The sequence below is a fragment of the Homo sapiens genome, chromosome 7, assembly GCF_000001405.40.
Source record: "Homo sapiens chromosome 7, GRCh38.p14 Primary Assembly".
Classification (NCBI taxonomy): Eukaryota; Metazoa; Chordata; class Mammalia; order Primates; family Hominidae; genus Homo; species Homo sapiens.
The window spans coordinates 126,525,036-126,544,826 of NC_000007.14; the positions used below are offsets into that span (position 1 = coordinate 126,525,036).

A 19,791-nucleotide genomic window follows, 5' to 3' on the forward strand; every position below is an offset into this window, starting at 1 on the left:
TTTCTGCAGTTAATCCTGCCATCCTTAGCTGTTGATGTAGAATTATAATGGGAGGACCAGGTTGCATGACAAAGATTACTGGTGGGGTCTGTTTTCTTTGTTTGAGAGGGCTGACTATGAACTTGTGAGTTTAGTGATTGTTTTACCTGGCTCGCTTCTCTTAAAGATGCATGGATATTGGCAAGCAAGCAGCCTGGAACTTACCCCAGGAGAAACCTGTTCTAAGAGTTGAGAAACTTATATTCTTATCCTAGGTAGAGCTGTATTTCCTATTCCCCCTGGCCATATCTGAAATAAAATCACTTCCAATCCTGCCCTTTCTCTTTCAGTGCCTTATAGGTACAGAAGTCCTCTGTCCTCACATAATTCCCATTTTTCAGAGTTCTTTCTTTTAACTGGAACTCTTTCTACATTAAGGTTGGAGCAGAAAGGGGAAGTGAGGAGCCCAGCTGGCCCATATCTCCTGAAATGCAGTTCTTTAAATATTTCCCTAATGGTCACTCTGATGCCTGCTTCAGGACTTTATGTTGACTTTAGGTTTGGAAATTATTTGGGACTTTTATAGTAAGAACCACTTATGCATCTTGGGTTGTGCTTCCCTTCTTTGAATTTCTCCATAAATCAGACCCAACTGGCTTTTACTTTCTGAGAGTTTCTCAGTTTTACCAAATGTTTGTTCTAACAATATAATGGCTTCCTCTCATTCTCTCTCCCTCTCTTTCTCCTTTCCTTCTAGTCTTCTTTCTTTTTTAAAATCTCATTATTTTTGTCATTTACTTGTTACCTTAGATGGAGGACATACATGTGTCTTTGTGCCAGCCATTATCTTGAACCAGAAACCAGATTAAATTTCTTTTTACATATTTCTTTTAATTATTCAAATAAATCTGTTTCGAATTTATTTTAGATAGCCCGGAATATATATTAATACTTGGTTAAATATTTTTTCCACACTTTAAGGTAGGTGGTACTAACCCATATGATACCACATTTAGATTTTTCTTTTACATTTCTCAACATAAAAAATATATATATATGTGGTTACAGCCAAAAGGAACTGTTTGCTTGCAATCTGTTCTTCCTGGCACCCTGTATGTTCCATGAGAGATAAGCATCTACTGAAGCATAAAAAGTGTCTTACAAAATCATAGTAAGTAAATCAGTCACTACATTCTGTATTATCAATAGTCCTGGGTGTCATTAAGGTTCTGTCTGTATAGAAAAGATTAGGTTTGTGTATATGATATTCTCCTAAAGCATTTTAACATAAAGTCATGGTCACTGAAATCTGAAAATATTCACATTTCAGTCTTAATCAAATCTAGTACCTCAGGATTTTTCAATCATATTCAGAAAGTTCAACCATTTCGATGTGTTAGCTCTAGCTCTAAGTTCCCAGGCTGAATATCCAGTGGTCTAGTTGCATAAATTATTGTAATTTGGGCAGAGAATTCAAACTGTTTGTAAACTCAATTTCAATTGAAAAATACCACAATGTCACTAATAATCAACACTTAAATTAAGTAATCTTCAGCCCCACAGCTTCCTCAGAACCCCCAAAAGTAGGATGTGTAATCTAAAAAGATTCATTGAGCAAATATTTATTTGTGCTATCAAAGAAGATGGCTTCCCCCAAAAGAATTCCTCCAAATGTTAAAGTTGGTAATTTTCTGCAGGATTAATATGTAGCACAATCAGAAAAAACAAAAACAAAAACTTATATAAGGCAGCATTCCCTAGGAGAGCCACTTGGCAGTCCTGCCTGCATGTGCCCTACATGAGAATTCCATGCTTCCTCTGAATCTTCACAAGCATATCATTTAAATTAAGAGCATAAATGAGGCCACATAAATGCTTTCTTTTCCAGTTTTTTTAAAATTTACTTCCCCCTTCCAGAGCAGATTGCAACAGTCTGGTATAATTGATCTTGTCCACAAAAAATCGACCGTAATACATTAAATAGTTCTGTAATGTGGCACCGTTAAAAAGGATCTGCTTCAAATGACTGTGAACTGACAAGGAAAGAAAATGTTATATAGTTGGCTGGGCGCGGTGGCTCACGCCTGTAATCCCAGCACTTTGGGAGGCCGAGGCGGGTGGATCATTTGAGGTCAGGAGTTTGAGACCAGCCTGGCCAATATGGTGAAACCCCATCTCTACTAAAAATACAAAATTAGCTGGGCATAGTGGTGCACATCTGTAATCCTAGCTACTTGAGAGGCTGAGGCAAGAGAATCGCTTGAACCTGGGAGGCAGATGTTGCAGTGAGCCAAGATGGCGCCACTGCACTCCAGCCTGGGCAACAGAGCGAGACTTCATCTCAAAAAGAAAAGAAAAGAAAAGAAAATGGTATATAGTTTACCAACAGGTAGCCTAAGATAGTTATATGCAGTGATTAACGATTACAAACATACAATGTGGATACTGATAATCATTTTTACTGCCCTCCTTTAAGGAAATGGAGAAATGTCAGGAGACAAGGTACAGCTGAAAATTTTCCTCCAGTTTGATCTATTCTGCAAATCTCTTCCATCCTTGTCCAGGTTATTGACACTATTTCCGCAGGATTTTCAGGCTGTTCTTTTCTCATCTGGACTATTCCTTAGAGCAGGAATTTTATTACTAATCTCCAAACTACCTCTCGAATATTAGAATTATTCACATTCCAAATTATAATACAAAGATTTCAGCAACTGCTCTCTGATGATATTTTTTTTCTTCCAGTATTGTCTGTTAAATATTTGAAGGCAGGTACACACTGCCTCAGGAACAACTCTGTCCTCTCTCCAAATGCTCCAGATTCTTCTCTCCCTCACAGCCCTCTTTAACTGCTGTAATCTGTAAGATCTACTCTTCGGGCAAGCCTCTATGTTTAAGAAAACACTTTCAGGCCGGGTGCAGTGGCTCATGCCTGTAATCCAGCATTTTGGGAGGCTAAGGCGGGCGGATCATGAGGTCAAGAGATTGAGACCATCCTGGCCAACATGGTGAAACCCCGTCTCTATTAAAAATACAAAAATTAGCTGGGAGTGGTGGCGTGTGCCTGTAGTCCCAGTTACTTGGGAGGCTGAGGCAGAAGAATCACTTGAACCCTGAAGGCAGAGGTTGCAGTGAGCCGAGGTAGTGCCACTGTACTCCAGCCTGGTGACAGAGCAGAGCAAGACTCCATCTCAAAAAACAACGACAACAACAACAACAACAAAATAAGAAAACACTTTCAGTTGGGGGTCTGCTCAGATATGGTCTAAATGGCAGGTGAAATTGAGACAATTACTTGGATAAATCAAATCACATCCTCCTACGCAATTCATTCGAATATATTCAGTCATTAAACAAATATTTTTTAAAGAACCTATTACAGACTCAATATTATGCTGAGTGCTGAAGAGAAAATGGTGAGCAAAATCAAATAAAGTCCTTGCCCTCATGGGTAACAGCCTAATGGTGATGATAGCCAACATTTATTCACTGCCTATTATGTGCATGAAACACTTTTCATGACTCCTGTCATCTAACTTTCAGCAAAATAAATATGAGTTATTAGTACAAAAAAACACACCATACAGAGACAAAAGAAGTTGTGTGTGTGTGTGTGTGTGTGTGTGTGTGTGTTTGTATTTATTTTAAATAATCAACCCTTTTCCTGCTTTTCCCCAGAATATATGAACTCAAGTCTTCTCTAGTTCGAGAACAGGGCTGGGGGTGATGGCAGGGGGTTGCTTTACATTGCTTTGTATTGGAATTTGTATTGTCCAGGGGGAACTCATTACCACCTATAGATACATAGCCACTTGCCCATGTTTTCTCAGCTATTTAGCAGACACAGGATTTGAACCCAAGATTTCACATTCAGGAGCTTATGCTCTTTCTTACTCCACTGGCACACCTGTGTACCCCTACACTCTTCTGCCCCTAAGGTAGATAAATAGAGAAAAAGAACAAGAGGGGTGATATGGCAAAAGTATCTCAATAGTTGCATCAATTCTCCTTTGCTTTGTGAATTCTGGATGAAACAAAGGACAACTATAATAATTCTTGCTTGCTCTTCTCTTTAAACATGTAGTAGTCCTATTTGAGAATAAGTGATAATGACAACTTTTTAGAAAAAAATCTACATGACCCATCATTAAATGGGAAACCATTTTTTTCAGAAAAAAAAAATTGTTATAATGGAGATTACAATAAGATGCCTACAGAAGATTCCCATTGTGCTATAGTCTAACTTAAATCACAAATACGCATTTATATTATTATATCATTAATATTAGCTCATTGAATAGGCATTTATTGAGAATGGACTATAAGAAGAGCTATATGTTAAGAGACATATTCATTCAGACAGACATTGCTTATTGTCCACAACAACGATGACTTTTAAAAGTAAGAAGAGGAAGTAAAGTAAAGGGGCAGGAGTGAGTAGAGGGAGGAGTCTAAGGTGACAACCAGCTTTCTGACTTAAGCTGCTATGCATCCTGAGGCCACTGGAAGAAAATCTGGTTTGAGATTTATTGGAGGTTTTTTCTTTTCTTTTCTTTTTTTGCCTTTTTGAGTTTTATTTTCTTTTCCACTTTGAGGGTGTTTTGTTTTGTTTCCATCGGATGCTCTAGAAGAGGCAGAGTGCTCATTGGAGGTTGACAGTGTCATAACCCTTGTCTGATTATCTCGATTTTATGAGCCCAATTAAGGATGATAAAATATGTGTTTTAGAGATTTCTGCCATCCTTACAGCCCCTTACCATCCCTAAGGATACTTCTCCTGACTATTAATCACATTTTAATTTTTTTCTCTTTTCAGTACAATTATGTGAGTTTGTGTTATTGCATGGCCATGCCTCAGTGGTCTACCCTTCCTTCACACCACTTTTCTATAGGGAAACCAAAGGTGCATTTATACCATAATTTAGTTGAATTCAGCAGTAGTTACAAATGATGTTATTAAAATCTATTGGGAAAAATGATTCATCTTGATTCATTCAAAATGATTCATTCAAAAACAGAGGACAAAGGAATGTGGGGAAGTTAAATGATATATCATTGAATAAAGGCACTTCAGAAAGCTCTCTGTCTTCATAACTGCTACAAGTGTCCTTTATAACTTCATTTTACCCAAATGTTTTCCAAAACATCTGTCTAAACTTTTCAACTAAGTTTAGTTGTTATTCTTGCTTCTTGTAATTTCAGAGAGACCTGTGTGGTTCGATGCATTCTCTGACGTTATTCTGAGAAGAAACAATTAAATGCATACTGGAAGACATTTTGCTCTTCTACATGTTGGAAATTCGGTGTCACCAATGCACAGCTGCAGAATGCACAGTTCTATTGTTTTCTTTCTCATCACAGATCTGACCCCTCACCATCTTCCCCCGCCCTTGAGCCTGATCCTTTTCTGACTTTGAGCCTGGCACCTTGCTGGTGCCGGCAGGCATCATGAAGGCATGGGCTGGGAGCCAGACTCAGCCTTGCAAAGGAGGCTCAGGGAAGCCGACTGACATGGGCTCAATAATTAGTTCAATGCCGGACACAATGCTCAATAAGGAGCTGCTGGGTTAATGGATGTGTGTGCTAGCTAGCTGTAGTAAACAATTCAAGTTGATAACATGGGGCTGATTGTCTGAACAGTACAAAAGAAAATGGAGGACTGACCAGCTCTTTGGTCCTCCAAGGTCAATACAACATTTAAAGCCTTCTTATAGAGATATACAAGTTTTGTTCATTTTTAATATTCATGTCAATAATTTAAGCAATGTGAAAACTTAAACATTCTCAAGCATTTATTTATTTTTTTTGGTAGAGACCAGGTCTCACTCTGCTTCCCAGCCTGTAGGGCAGTGGCATGATCCTAGCTCACTATAACCTTGAACTCCTGGGCTCAAACAATCCCTGCTGTCTCAGCCTCCTGAACAGCTTGGACTATAGGTGCACGACACCATGCCCGGCTAATTTTTTTATTTTTATTATTGTAGAGATAGGGTCTTGTTATGTTTCCCAGGCTTGTCATTTTATGTATTGTCTTGAATAATAAAAGAAACTTGGACAGAGAATAGCAGGTAGCAAATTTTCAGATGTAGATTTAGGATAATACAAAATTTTATAATGTGAAGTACCTCAGTACCAAAATCTTAGCTATTTATAATATGATAGCCCTTGATGTAGAGCTAACTTAAATTCAACATTTCCATGACTAAATAATTTGTGGGCTCTAAAATATTCTCAAAATTCCTAGAGTTAGCATTTCTTAATTGATTTCTTTAGCCTTTTTCACATTCAACTATATTATAAATACAAAATGAATCCATTAACATATTTTATAATGTGTCTTTCAGTGTGCTTCTTAGATTTAGTTTGATTTCAGAAAGCTAAGAAAGAAAAAGGAATTTTGCAAGCCACACTCAATCATATCTGCATAGGCATAGCTATATAGACACCCATAAAATTATGCATAACCCCCAGGTTTTCAAATGAACACCTCCCACAGTCTCAGCAACACAGGGCAACCTCCACCCTCTGGCATATTCATGTGTCCATTTCACTGTGAAATTCTTATCTTCATCACTGCTCCTCAGGGGGCCTCTACAACTCTGCAATGTTATTGTTCTGAGAGAAAATGGTTATTTTGTAAAATTTTCCTTCAAAAAACCTATTTAATAGAATCACAAGTTTATTCTCTTCAGCAGCAAGTTTGCTGAAGTACATTATTTGTCCAAAAATAGTTGAAGGCCACATTGATTGAGGAAGGGATGAATACTCATACTAATGAGCTTTCTGTCCCGTTGTTGTGGAAATTTTCTGTGAATTTGCTGGGATTTTCTGCTGGGTCATGCAGAACCTCCTTGGAATGTTATAGCCTGGGAAATGTAATTACCCCATGACGTTTCATTTTTCTCACAATTTCTGGTGTCAGAGGATGGAACAATCAAGTCCTCACTCTGAAAGGACTCTCTCACATGCCCATCAGGGCAGAAGGGCTATCATTACAGAAATACAGCATTCTCCTCTGTTTTTCAAGCTGGTTTATCTCCATCCCACTACCCGAAAAGTGGAATTCAGAGTTCCCTTAGTTCTCTGCTTTTCTGTACATAGAACTACAACATCCAACCCAGCAAACACTCCCTTCCTATACAGATATTCTTTACCAGCAGTATTTTATGTGGAAAACATTAACAAGAGATTAGTGACAAAAGAAATTACTTTGGGGGAGTCCATTGATCTTTGCCTTCTAAAATTTATAAGCTGCTTTATATAATTGTCCATGATTGCCTTCTTTACCCTCATCATCAACTTCCACATATGAAAAAGTAACAAGAATGGGGACTGAGAAGAAATAGTAAGATGGTTCAGACTGAACGAAGCCATTCAGTTTTTATACGTGTGTGTGATTATTTCACTATAAACTCTGCTTCCATGACTAAAATCATCACAATTACCAAGCAATGGCTTTATCCCAGAGTTACTTTAGAACAAAAAAGAAGGCATTTGTCATGCAGTGGCATATCTCGGGGACAGCTCACCCCTGTGAACCATGTCTGCCCTTTCTTCCTCCTTCTTTTAATTAACATTTGGAAAAGAACAGTGATGTTAGCAGATAGCAGAGCTGGGAAGGGAGACTCAGAAAGTGATGTGAGCTTTGTCAATCTTCAACCTTGCCAAGGAGGACACATTAAAGTGTTTTTCATGGAAAATCAGGCTTTGTCAACACAAATTCAAAGCAATGTGACCTTGACGGATGGAGATATATATATATATATATATATATATATATATATATATATATATATATATATGCATGCTAAGTAAGAATAGCACAGACTGAAGCATCTTTAGAGAATATAAGTGAACCAAATAAAAGGAGGAAAAGCATCCTAAAAGAAGATGTTAAATCCAGGAAAAAGTTGTCAAGTGTATTTCCTTCTACTTACCTTTTCTGCTGACTGGGCTGTACCAAAAAAGATGGGGATGAAAGCTAACCAAATGATGCAGGTGGTATACATGGTAAATCCAATAGGTTTGGCTTCATTGAAAGTCTCTGGGACACCTCTCGTTTTAATGGCATAAACAGTACAAGTGACCATCAAGAGGATACTGTATCCAAGTGAACAAATGAGTGAGAGATCAGAAATGTCACACTTGAGCACTCCCCTGGCCTTCTCTGGATCTAGTGTCCGCTGCTCTCCATAGTCAATGATGATGTGGGGGGGATCCACAACAAACCAGACAAACACTCCAAGGAGCTGGACGGAGATGAGGCTGAAGGTGATCACCAGCTGAGATGCTGGACTAATGAACTTGGGCGCTGTGACAGATTTCTTCCCCTGCTCAAATATTCGGTGGATACGGTTTGTTTTGGTCAGAAGGGCTGCATAGCTGAAACACATGCCAAGTCCTAGGAAGACCCGTCGGAAGGAGCATATGATTGTATCTGGTGCTGCAATCATTAAAAACGTGATTGAATAACAGAGAAAAATCCCCGTTAGGAGCACGTAACTAAGTTCGCGTCCTGAAGCCCTCACGATAGGTGTGTCATTATAGCGGACAAAGGTCACGATCACAAAGGTGGTGGCGATGATTCCCAATATTGCAACAAACACAGGCACCACAGCCCAGGGAGAATGCCACTCCAATTTGATGATGGGGATAAGCTGGCAGCCTGTGCGGTTCATGTTGGGTCTCTGATCCAGAGGGCAAAGTTCACAGGACAGCTCATCCACCTGGTAGTTGTAACCTTCACAGCGTTCACAGTGCCAGCAGCAAGGGACCCCTTTCACCGTTTTCTTCCTCTCCCCTGGCTTACACGGCAGGCTGCAGACAGACGCCGGGTGAGTATGTTCTCTATGAGCCCACTGCATGTCTTCCACCTGTGGGTATAAAAAATTAATGAGCCTTCCATTTTTCCCCCATTTATAATATCCTAATCCTAGCCACGGGTTTGTAATGAATCACAGAATGCTGACAGTACAAATACAGTTTACCATAATAAGAGTCTCGTTTTTTTTCCCCTGATATTGACTTTATGAAAGTGTTAAGTGACTGGATCCAATATATCATTCACCTCATCAACTTGATGAGTGTCATTAGTTTCCATTTACCTCCTCATTGCTGACCAATGTGACATCTGGAGAGAGATTTATTGGTCAAAACAGTTTTAAAACTAAAAAAAATAAAATACAAAAAAATAAGAAGAAGCCCCGTAGAAAGATGCTTTAGAGTTAATCACAAATATAAATGCCAGAATCCCTGAAACACTGGGCTAGGATATAAACATATATAAAAGATGATCCATGTCTTTCTACCATACTTAGGGAAATTCAAATCACACTGCATCAATTTTGAAAGGAAATGGCAAAATGAGTTAATCTCTGACTTTCCTCATGTGTTCATGGAGATAACTATATTAATGTGTTTTGCCCCTGTTTAGGCTTGAAATATCCTTTTTTTCTTCAGTCTTGCATTTCCATGTTGTGCAAAACACCATGCTGAATGAGATAACTTGATGGTAATGTTTTTTTTACTGAACGAAAGTGGCCCTATGGTGATTTAAAGCAGGGAAATTAGTACAAATGAGATTTTCCCCACTTTGCTTAGTATCGCTTCAGGGCCTTAAAATCCAACCTTATGCTTTCAGGTTAAATCATAGAATAACTCTATCGAGATACAAGCAGTTCGTGAAAGAGACAGCACCAATCATTGATCTCTTACCTTTAATTTGCTTTTCTTATTAGACACAGTAATTTTAGCAGAATGCTAATAGGACAAAACTGAAAATTACAGATGACGGGAGACCACTTACTATGAAAAGCAGCTACTATAAAAGGTAAGCTCTATGAAGTGAGTAATTTTTTCACTGGTGTGAACAAACAGTGACTGGCATACAATTTGCCCTCGATACATATTTGTTGAATTCATGAGGGAGAAAGGATGGGAAAGGCACTAGAGCAGAGCCCTGAGGAATAAGGAGACAGCTTGGAAGTACTGGGATATGGAAATAGAGGGTACTCAAGAGGCACAGCAAAGGGAGATGAAGGAATGTTTCAGAAAAAAAGAACAACTTATTTTCATAAGTTCGCCTTTACTAATAATCCAAAAGAATTACTATACTGTGTGGTAGTCAGTCTCCACCGTGGCCCCCAATAACCTCACTTCTGAAAATTGATGTACTCCTGTGGCCCGCTGCCACTTTGAATAGGGCTAGTCTGTGTAAACAATAGTATATTCCAGAAATGATGATACGTCTCTTCTGAGGCCAGGTCATAAAAGGCATTTTGGTTTCGGCCTTGCTCTCTGCTGGATAATTCACTCGAGTGGAAGCACTCCAGTGTCACTGATGCAGGACAGACGAGCCCCAAAGTGGGACCAAGCCTGCCAGAATTCTTGGCTCCACCCAGGAAAGAATTCAAGGGCAAGCTGATGGTGGTTAGAAGAAAACAGCTTTATTGAAGCAGCAATTATAGCTCCATGACTGTTCCTGCAGAGCAGGAGCAGCAGGCAGAGAGCAGCAGCTCAGGGCAGTTCTGCAATTGTGTTTATACCTACTTTCAATTGCATGCAGAGTAAGGGGTGGATTATGCAGAAATTTCTAGGAAAAAGGTAATAACTACTAGGTTGCAGGTCGCTGCCATGGAAAGAGGCTGTAACTGCCATGGCAATGGTGGGCATGTCTTACGGGAAGCTGCTTCTGTCCTGTCCCTGTTTTAGCTAGTCCTCAGTTTGGTCCAGTGTCCAAGTCCCACCTCCAGAGCCAAGTCCCTCCTACCTCATCATGAAAACTCTCAGCAGCCCTGTGGAAAGAATGGAGGCCTCCTGTCCACAACAAGCACCAACTTCCCATGCGTGTGAAGGAGCCACCTAGAAAGTCATCATCTGGCTCCAGTCAAGCCTTCAGGTGACATCTGAATGACATCTTGAATACAAACTCATGAGAGACCCTGAGCCAGGAAAACACAGCTAACCTGTTCCTGAATTTCTGATTTACGGAAATGTTGTGAGATGATGTTTATTGTTTTAAACTGCTACATTTTGGAGTTATTTGTTCTGCAACAACAGAAAATGAATGCAGCTCAAATTAAACTTAGCTACTTGGTGGCCACTTTCATTTTAATATCAGTGTAGTTATCTATCCAGAAGGCACACCCAGGGACAGCGACTGTATACTTCCAAAGCAGCCCGAAGTATGTAGCTTTAGCAATATTCCTTCATCATTCTTATGGTGGCTTACTCTTTGACAATCAGGTGACTGAAATCGTTCTCATGAACAATTACTTAAGAATGCTTTCCTTTCTTGAATCTAGGGTGAATGGTTGAGGCCAGAGAACTGTAGTCTTCAAGCTCTATCCTTTTAGAGGGCTGTCGAATCTCCTCAGAGTAGAGACTTTGTGTCTTTAATTTCAGATATCCTCCCTTGAGAAAGTAGATGCTACTTCATCTGTCATATGTCATCAGGGCATTTGAGACTATTAGATCTATCCTGTCAGCTCACTACAAAGGAAATGTAATCTATTATAACCCTCTAGTTTCTTATTGGGTTTTAATGACTTAAAAATATTATATTTTATTTACTTATAAGATTACAGGAAGAAAGAAATAAAGGTAAATGGAAGCACACAGTGATTTCTTTCAAAAATACTGAGAAAAAAAATGAAATGCTCCACTGGGTGCTTCAGGAATTAACTTTACAACCTAAGGGACTCATAAGATAAGAAAATACATTTTTGAAGGTTATATTTAAAAGCTAATTACTATAGAAACAAAATTGCATTTTGTTGGGAACTTCCATAGATTTACAGTGTTCCTGCTCAAAAAACACAAAACAAAACAAAACAAAACAAAAAATGAAAAACAGCAAAAAAAAATTGGAAACATTAAACTTCAAGAAACCTTAAAGGTCAGTTTCTCTAACCACATGTCGGAAGCTTTAATTCTCAATATGCTTTACTTCTCAGAACAACATAAGATGTGTTAAAAAAGAAATGTACCTATACTCGGTAGGTTTCATTACATAGGATAACTATTTATCATTATAAGCTAAATGTGAAATTTTCCTTGACAATTTTTTAATGTTTTGAACCAATGAAAAAACGTTTTTCATAAATTAAAAATAAAGTTGTAAGAATATGAAAAATACCAGTTTTTTAACAGCTATGAATTTTCTTTAAGTAAAAAAATAAGCAATATGTGTAACATTTTTATTATAAAGGAGACTGTAATGTTATAGTTTACAGATTATGTTTTAATAAATATGTTAAATATGCATGCTAAATATGCATGACTTAATTTTCATCAAGGAATCTTTGTTAAACTATGCTGTGAATTGATTTCATAGCTAAAGTCTGAAAACCAACTAGTATCCACTTCAAGAAAGGACAAATAACAAATGCTTGAACAAGGATCTTACAAATACAGTAATATTTGAGACTAACAACTTATTTTACATAGTTGCTAAATGATGATTAAAACCAACACTATTTGGACCGGACGTGGTGGCTCAAGCTTGTAATCCTAGCACTTTGGGAGGCCAAGGCAGGCGGATCACAAGGTCAGGAGATCGAGACCATCCTGGCCAACACGGTAAAACCCTGTCTCTTCTAAAAATACAAAAAAATTAGCCGGGCATGGTGGCAGGTGCCTGTAGTCCTAGCTACTTGGGAGGCTGAGGCAGGAGAATGCTGTGAACCCGGGAGGCGGAGCTTGCAGTAAGCCGAGATCACGCCACCGCACTCCAGCCTGGGTGACAGAGCGAGACTCCGTCAAAAAAAACAAACAAACAAACAAACAAAAAAAACACTATTTGAAAGTGAAAACTGCCTAATTTCCACAACTGTTACAAAGCATAAACAAAGATTATTCAACCCTGTTTATTGCTATATTAACAAATTATACCATCTTTCATTATAAGTATAAAGAGATGCCTTAACCATATATTTTTAAAATTTGCCTTCCTCACCTTTGGTATTATTCTGTTATTAAGACGTTTTCAGTCTGAAATACATGGTATAACAAATGGAGGATAGTTATATAGATAGATCTTCCAGGGACAAAAAAATGGCCCATTCTTATCTTGACAATGTTTACCAATAGTGATTTATTCAATAGGTTTCAATCCAGTGCATTTCAGAAAATGTAAGTCATCAGCTGGTTTCTGCTGTCAAATCCTGTTATTATTGCAGACAAGTACACAAAGAATCGTGAAACCAAAGTTTCCGGGTGAGTGTGCTTACATTTTTAAATTTTCAATCTTTTCAGAAAAGTCAACTAGGAGTACTGTTTTATAAACTCTTTAAAAAGAATATAATTTTTAGAGAATAATTTTCTTCTGTATAGTTTTAATAACTCCTGAAGAAAGGATTACAAGAATGATTACAAGAATGTTGAACAAGTAAAATCCCCATTATAATTAATAATTTTCAGTCTTCATTACAGAACTCTCAATCTAATATCTCTAATACAATGTTTTTCCTAAATATCAAGTGGTATTTTTTTAATGTGCTTACCATATACAGGATGTGGGAAAATTTTAAATACATTGTTTACAGATAACTGATACTTAGTCATACCATTCTTAACACATTTCCTCTTGCTCTACATGTAATAATTTTGTTAATTATTATTAATTAATAATTATTTTGTTGACTAGTTTGACACCTCGATATTCAAAACTCAATATTTCTGACTTAAGTAATGGAAGACTGCATGTGCAATTACTTCCAGAGACACTAATGATTATTTTTAAACCATTACTCATTAAATTTCATATAAATGCATACAATCTGCATGGGTACTTAAAATTTTAAACTTTAGTGCCATATTTTGCATATCACATGATTCACACATGAATGAGTACATGTTGCACAGTTAATCTGATAACAGAATATAAAATTATGTAATTATATGCATTATATGTGTCTCTCTATATATATATTTCTTAATATTCTGCATTTCCTTTGAGTCATGTACAGCTTTAAGTGACCACAAAGAAAACAATATTTATCTCTTCTTCAAAGTGGCCCGTGTCCTTTGAAAAATCTAATATGCTTGAGATGATTCCCAAGCTGAAATCCTGTTTTTTTGTGATGTTCCAGATCTATATAACCTTTAAAAGTGCGAAGACTTCTCCTATTTTAAAGACAATTTAAAATAAAATTAAGGAAAAAATTTCATTTACATTAACACCAAAAATAAAATACTTAGTGATAAACTTAGTAAAAGAAGCACATGACTTATCCAGGAAAAACTACAAAACATCATTGAAAAAAAGTGAAAAAAAAAGTATAAATAGTTGAAAAGAAATCCTGTGTTTATGAATCAGATGATTTACTATTGCTAAGATAGCAATATTTCCCACATTGATCTGCATACATATTCAACACAATCCCAGTCAAAATCTCAGCTGGCTCCTTCACTGAAATTGATCATCTGATCCTAAAATTTATATGGAAATATAAGGGACCCAGAATAGCCAAAATTTTGAAAGCAAAGAATAAAGATGGAGTATTCACATTTCCTCATTTTAAAACTTATTACAAAGAATGTCATAATCAAGACAACATAGTACAGGCATAATAATAAACAAATTAGTGGCATAGACTAGAGAGTCCAGAAATAAACCTCATACACATTTATAATATAAACGTGTATGTTCACGTTATTTTTGACAAGATACAAAGAAAATTCAATAAAGAATTTTTTTTTTCAAAAAATGATGCCAAAATAACTGGATATCCATATGCAAAATAATGAAGTTATACACCTACCTCACACTGTATATAAAAATTAACTCAAAAAGGATCCAAGACACAATGCAACAACTAAAACTTAAAAACTCATAGAAGAAAACAGGAGTAAATCTCTGTGACCTTGTGTTAGGCAGTGTTTTTTAGACATGACACCAAAAGCAGAAGCAACAACAACAAAAAAAATAAATTGCACTTCATCTATGTTAAATAATTGTGTGGGTCAAGAGACACCACCAAGATTGTTAGAAGACAACCCACAGGATAGGCAAAAATATGTTCAAGTCATTATTATCTCTAATAAGGGATTTGTATCCAGAATATATTTTTTAAAAACTGTTAAAATTCAACAGTTAAAAGACCAATAATCCAATTACAAATGAGCCAATAAATTGAATAGACATGTCCCAAAGAAGATATACAAATTGTCAATAGTGCATGAAAATATACCTAACATTATTAGCTATCAGGGAAATCTAAATCAAAACCAGTGCACCAACTAGGACTATTATAATAAAAAATAAAGACAATAGCAAGTGTTGATAAAGATGTGGATGAAGACATTTGGAATTCTTTGCATTGCTGTGGCAATGTAAAATGGTACTGTAGCTTTGGAAAATTTGACAATTCCTTAGAAAGCTAAACATAGGGTTTTGATATGACCTAGCAATTCCACTTCTAGGTATATACCAAAGATAGTTAAAAACATATGTTCCCACAAAAATTTGTGTATAAATGTTCATAACAGGATTATTCATAATACCCCCCAAAACCAGAAACAACCCAAATGACCAGTAACTGATGAAAGGATAAAAAATGTGGTATATCTATATTACTTAGCAATCAAAAGGAATAGTGTATTGACACCTACTACAAAATGGATGGACCTTGAAAACATTACACTAAGAAATGAAAGCAGCTAATCACAAAATACTAATATTGCATGTTTTTATTTTATATATAACATCCAGAATAGGCAAATCCATTGAATTCCAGGAGCTAGGGGGAAGGAAATAGAGAATGACCACTAAAGGGTATGGGATTTCTTGGATGATGATGAAAATGAACTAAACTTAGATATTGGTGATGGATGTGCAACACTGTGAATATACGAAGAACCACTGAATTGCATACTTTGAAAGAGATCATTTTTGGCGTGTAAGTTATCTCTATAAAGCTGTTATTTAAAAAATGTGGAGACTATTTAAGTAGATATTTTCAAGTGGTTTTAAGACTCAGTCCTATAATGCTGTACAAAAACATAGTCCATGCCCATTTTGTTTAAGGCACAAAGTTCAATGTGAGAATTCAACAAGACCAAGACATGGTTCTTGCCCTCCAGACACAACGTAGATGGGGAGAGAAAAAAACAAAGGCCAATCACAGCTCACAGTGAGTCTCCCTTACAGAAGGATGAGGAAATGGAACTGCTAGAGGAGCACACAGCAGGACCACGAAGCCCAGGGTTCATGGATGTGCAGACAGCAGTCTGGAGGTTGCACAGGAGACAAGGCACAGAAGAGGAGCTCAACAGCACATCAGGCAAAAAACAAAATTACTAATATATAGTTTCAAAAAGCCTTGACAAACTGGAGGAACTAAAAGTATTAAGAATAGCAGGAAGGTAGATAAAAGCAGTGGATGGAGTAGCAAGAAACAGGCCAGGAAAGAGGGTACATGTGAGATCATGAAGGGCCTTGTGAGCCATTGAGAGGAGTTTGGATGCCATCCTGAAGGTAGTTGGGATCTTCCATAGGGATATAGCCAGGATAAAGATGATGAGTCACGTTTTAGAATCTCTGGACTGTAGCGTAGAAAGAAGACTGCAGGAGTCCAAGACTAGAGAGAAGTCAATCACGCTGAGGCTGTTGCGGAATTCCAGATGAAAGATGATGACAGGAATCTGAGGAATGGCAATGGCCATGGGAAAAATGTGAGTATTCTATCAGCTGCTTCTTCAAGGACCATCTAAATTTGTTAGATACAGATTATCAGGTACAAAGGTACATACAAGAAAGATTCCTGGAGCTAAGAGCTACTTGAGATCGTAGCATTCTAATCACTAAATACTTCGTTAGTGCTAAGGAATTCTGTTATGGGTTGAATTGTGTACCTCCCAAAATTCATATGTTGAAGTCTTATCCCTCAATATCTCAGAATGTGACTGTATTTGGAGACAGAATCTTTAAAGAGGTAATTAAAGTAAAATAAGATTACTAGGGTGGGACATTATCCAATATAACTGATGTTTTTACAAGAAGACAGAATTAGGACACAGGCATGAATAGAGGGAAGGCCATGGAATGGCACAAGGAGAAAACCATCTAAAAGTCAAGGAGAGAGGCCTCAGAGAAAAACAACTATGCCAACATCTTGGACTTCTGGCCTCCAGAACTATGAGAAAATAAATTTCTGTTATTTAAGCCACCCAGTCTGTGGTACTTTGTTATGGCAACCCTAGAAAACTAATTTAGGCTCTAAAGGGTCGGCATTTGTATTACTAAAGCATAGTCAAAAGATACCTCATTTGTCAGCTAATAAACGTGGATTTTTACTAGGGACTGTACATACAGAAAGGAATAAAACAGTTTCTTCTTTCATAGAATCACAGTCCAGGGAACAGAAAGTCAATTAATCAGTAATGATTATAAAAATTACAAGTGATGTTAAAGAGTCATGCAAAGGATACTAGGGGAACATAGAGCTGGGGCACTTCAGCATCAGCACAGGGGTAAAAAGTTTCTCAGGGGAGGTGAGACTGCCTTGAAAGATAAAATGGAACTGGAGAAGACAAAGAAAGGCATTTCAGGTTGGATGAATCCTATAAGCAAATGTACACTGTAATCACTGTAAGCAATATGGCATGATTAGAACATGGTGTGTATCAATACAAGACAGTCAGTGACCATATAACGAAGGGCTTTGTAAGCAGCATCTAGTTTCCAGACTTTATTCTTTAAAGCTGTGGTGAGTAATTAAAGGACTTTTAGGCAAATATATGACATGATAGTATTATTTTTTAATTTTAGAGAAATCACTGTGGTGACAGATCAGAGGGAGGATGGCAGAGAAGCAAGAATATGAATTAGAGAAATATTGCCATAATGTCAGGCAAAGCAAGACTTTGTGAATTATGTCTAAGTGGTGGTGATGAAGAAGATAGGATAGATTTGAGATACAGTAAAGACAACAGAGATCATGGTAGAGTAAGGGCAAAAGATGAATGAAAAGATGGGATCTAGTTTTCTGATTTGACATCCATCCTTAGTGTTTCACTTCTTTCCACTGCATACATAAATCCAATAAACCAGCCTACATGGACATCTATGCATGATCTTGTCCCTGTCTAACTCCCAGGCAATGCGCAACCATCATTTAGCAATCCTCCTTAGTCCTTTTAGTGTTCTTCCATGGACTTTTACAGTACATGATTATGTATTTGTTTGATTTTATTTTTATTTTAAAAAGTGGGCTTTAAATTTTAGGTTATATTCCTAAGAATCACTTAAGGGTTTACTTAAAATGCATATTTCTCGTTCTTAGAGATTACAACTCATAGGTTTGAGAAAGAACCCTATGTTGGCATGTTTAAAAGAATCCCTCCTTCCTCTAGTGATTCTGACACATGCAAGTAATGAACTGTACTTTGCTAAGCCACTAATTAAAAGTTTATTTTCCTAAGAAGAGTAGAAGTCAGGTCTGATTTTCCACCACTGTGTTCCAGATCCTAACATCATGACTAAGACCTAATAGGCATCAATAACTATTTTTGAATGAATGAAGAAAGACTAAAATGCCATGTGAATAGGTAGTGGTATCCTTCACTGAAAAGGGGCGTACAAGGGAATGACTGGTTTTGAAAGGCCGATCATGACTTAGTTCATGGGTTTGTGAGCCAAGTGTGCCTAGAGGTAAAGATTTCAAAGGCACAGGTATATGCAAGGCAATTGAGGTCATGAATATTTATGAGAGAGCTCTCTCCCACAGACATGATGAAAAATACAAAGAGAAGATGGCACAAATGGATCACTGGAAAGAGTCAATTTAAGAAGCACACTCAGGAAGACCAGTGGAAAACGATGTAAAAACATGATCAAATGGTAACTAGGGAAGAATCTAGTCCACAGTGCAAGAGGCCAATCAAATAGTTAATTTCAGGAATGATGAAGTAGTTGGCAATGTATGAAGACAGTAATATTTCATAACCATAGGATTTGAAAATTTAGGGGCCTTGGTTACCTTCATGAGATAAGTTTTCTGTGAAGTCTCTCTTATCTACTTTGCTCCAGACAGGTAGATATGTTCCTCCTCTGTATTTCATCCTCCTCCAAGACATATTTTTATTGTAACACTTTGGCATTATATGGTGATTATCTGTTGATGTGTTTATTTCCCCACCAGACTGACAGCACATTAATCTCAAGGACCACCCAACCCCTATATAAGACTTAGGACTTAGTAGGAGTTCCATGTTTGATAAATATATAACTTGATTAATAAATAGAACATGTGATAAACTAGTCTATGACTAGAAATGTATAACTTCTCTCTATTTAGTGTTTTGAGTAGGCCTGGCTTTAGGCAGTAGGCAGATGGGAGTACTAAACTTATCGTTTCCTAAATCTGTGTGGTCTCTAGATTATGTCATCCGCAGCTTCAGAGAAGCTAATTTTGAGGAGACTAAGTACCCTGACCGCATACCTCACAAGGATGTTTGGAAGACCTAACAAATTAATATTTTGAAAGTTTATTTATTATTATTATTATTATTTTGAGACAGAGTCTCACTCTGTTGCCCAGGCTGGAATGAGGTGACACGATCTCAGCTCACTGCAACCTCCGCCTCCCGGGTTCAGACGATTCTCCTGCCTCAGCCTCCCGAGTAGCTGGGACTAAGGTGCACGCCACCACGCCCTGCTAATTTTTGTATTTTTAGTAGAGACGGGGTTTCACCATATTGGTCAGGCTGGTCTCAAACTCCTGACCTCATGATCCGCCCGCCTCGGCCTCCCAAAGTGCTGGGATTACAGACATGAGCCACCGCACCTGGCCTTCAAAGTATTTTATGAAC

At 37.4% G+C, this 19,791-nt stretch overlaps 1 protein-coding gene and 1 long non-coding RNA gene across 26 annotated transcripts in view; one reads left to right on the forward strand and one right to left on the reverse strand.

Annotated features, from left to right (window-relative positions):
• LOC101928357 (uncharacterized) overlaps positions 1-12,241 on the forward strand; it is a 41,965-nt gene extending 29,724 nt beyond the window's left edge. Inside the window, exons 1-3 of one of the 2 annotated variants that reach the window (XR_927936.3) lie at positions 8,725-8,813; positions 9,717-9,808; positions 10,690-12,241. This is a non-coding gene — a long non-coding RNA (uncharacterized LOC101928357). Of the gene's footprint in view, positions 1-8,724; positions 8,814-9,716; positions 9,809-10,689 lie in introns of those variants that run through there. The other variant, XR_927937.3, reaches the window with a different exon arrangement.
• GRM8 (glutamate metabotropic receptor 8) overlaps positions 1-19,791 on the reverse strand; it is an 814,344-nt gene that overhangs the window by 86,438 nt on the left and 708,115 nt on the right. For all 24 annotated transcript variants that reach the window (NR_163850.1, NR_163849.1, NR_028041.1 and 21 more), the window contains one exon: positions 7,917-8,852. Coding sequence is in view for 21 of the 24 variants with exons in the window: in NM_001371087.1 (NP_001358016.1) it covers positions 7,917-8,852 (936 nt within the window). In the remaining 3 variants the exon portion in view is untranslated. The remainder of the gene's footprint in view (positions 1-7,916; positions 8,853-19,791) is intronic.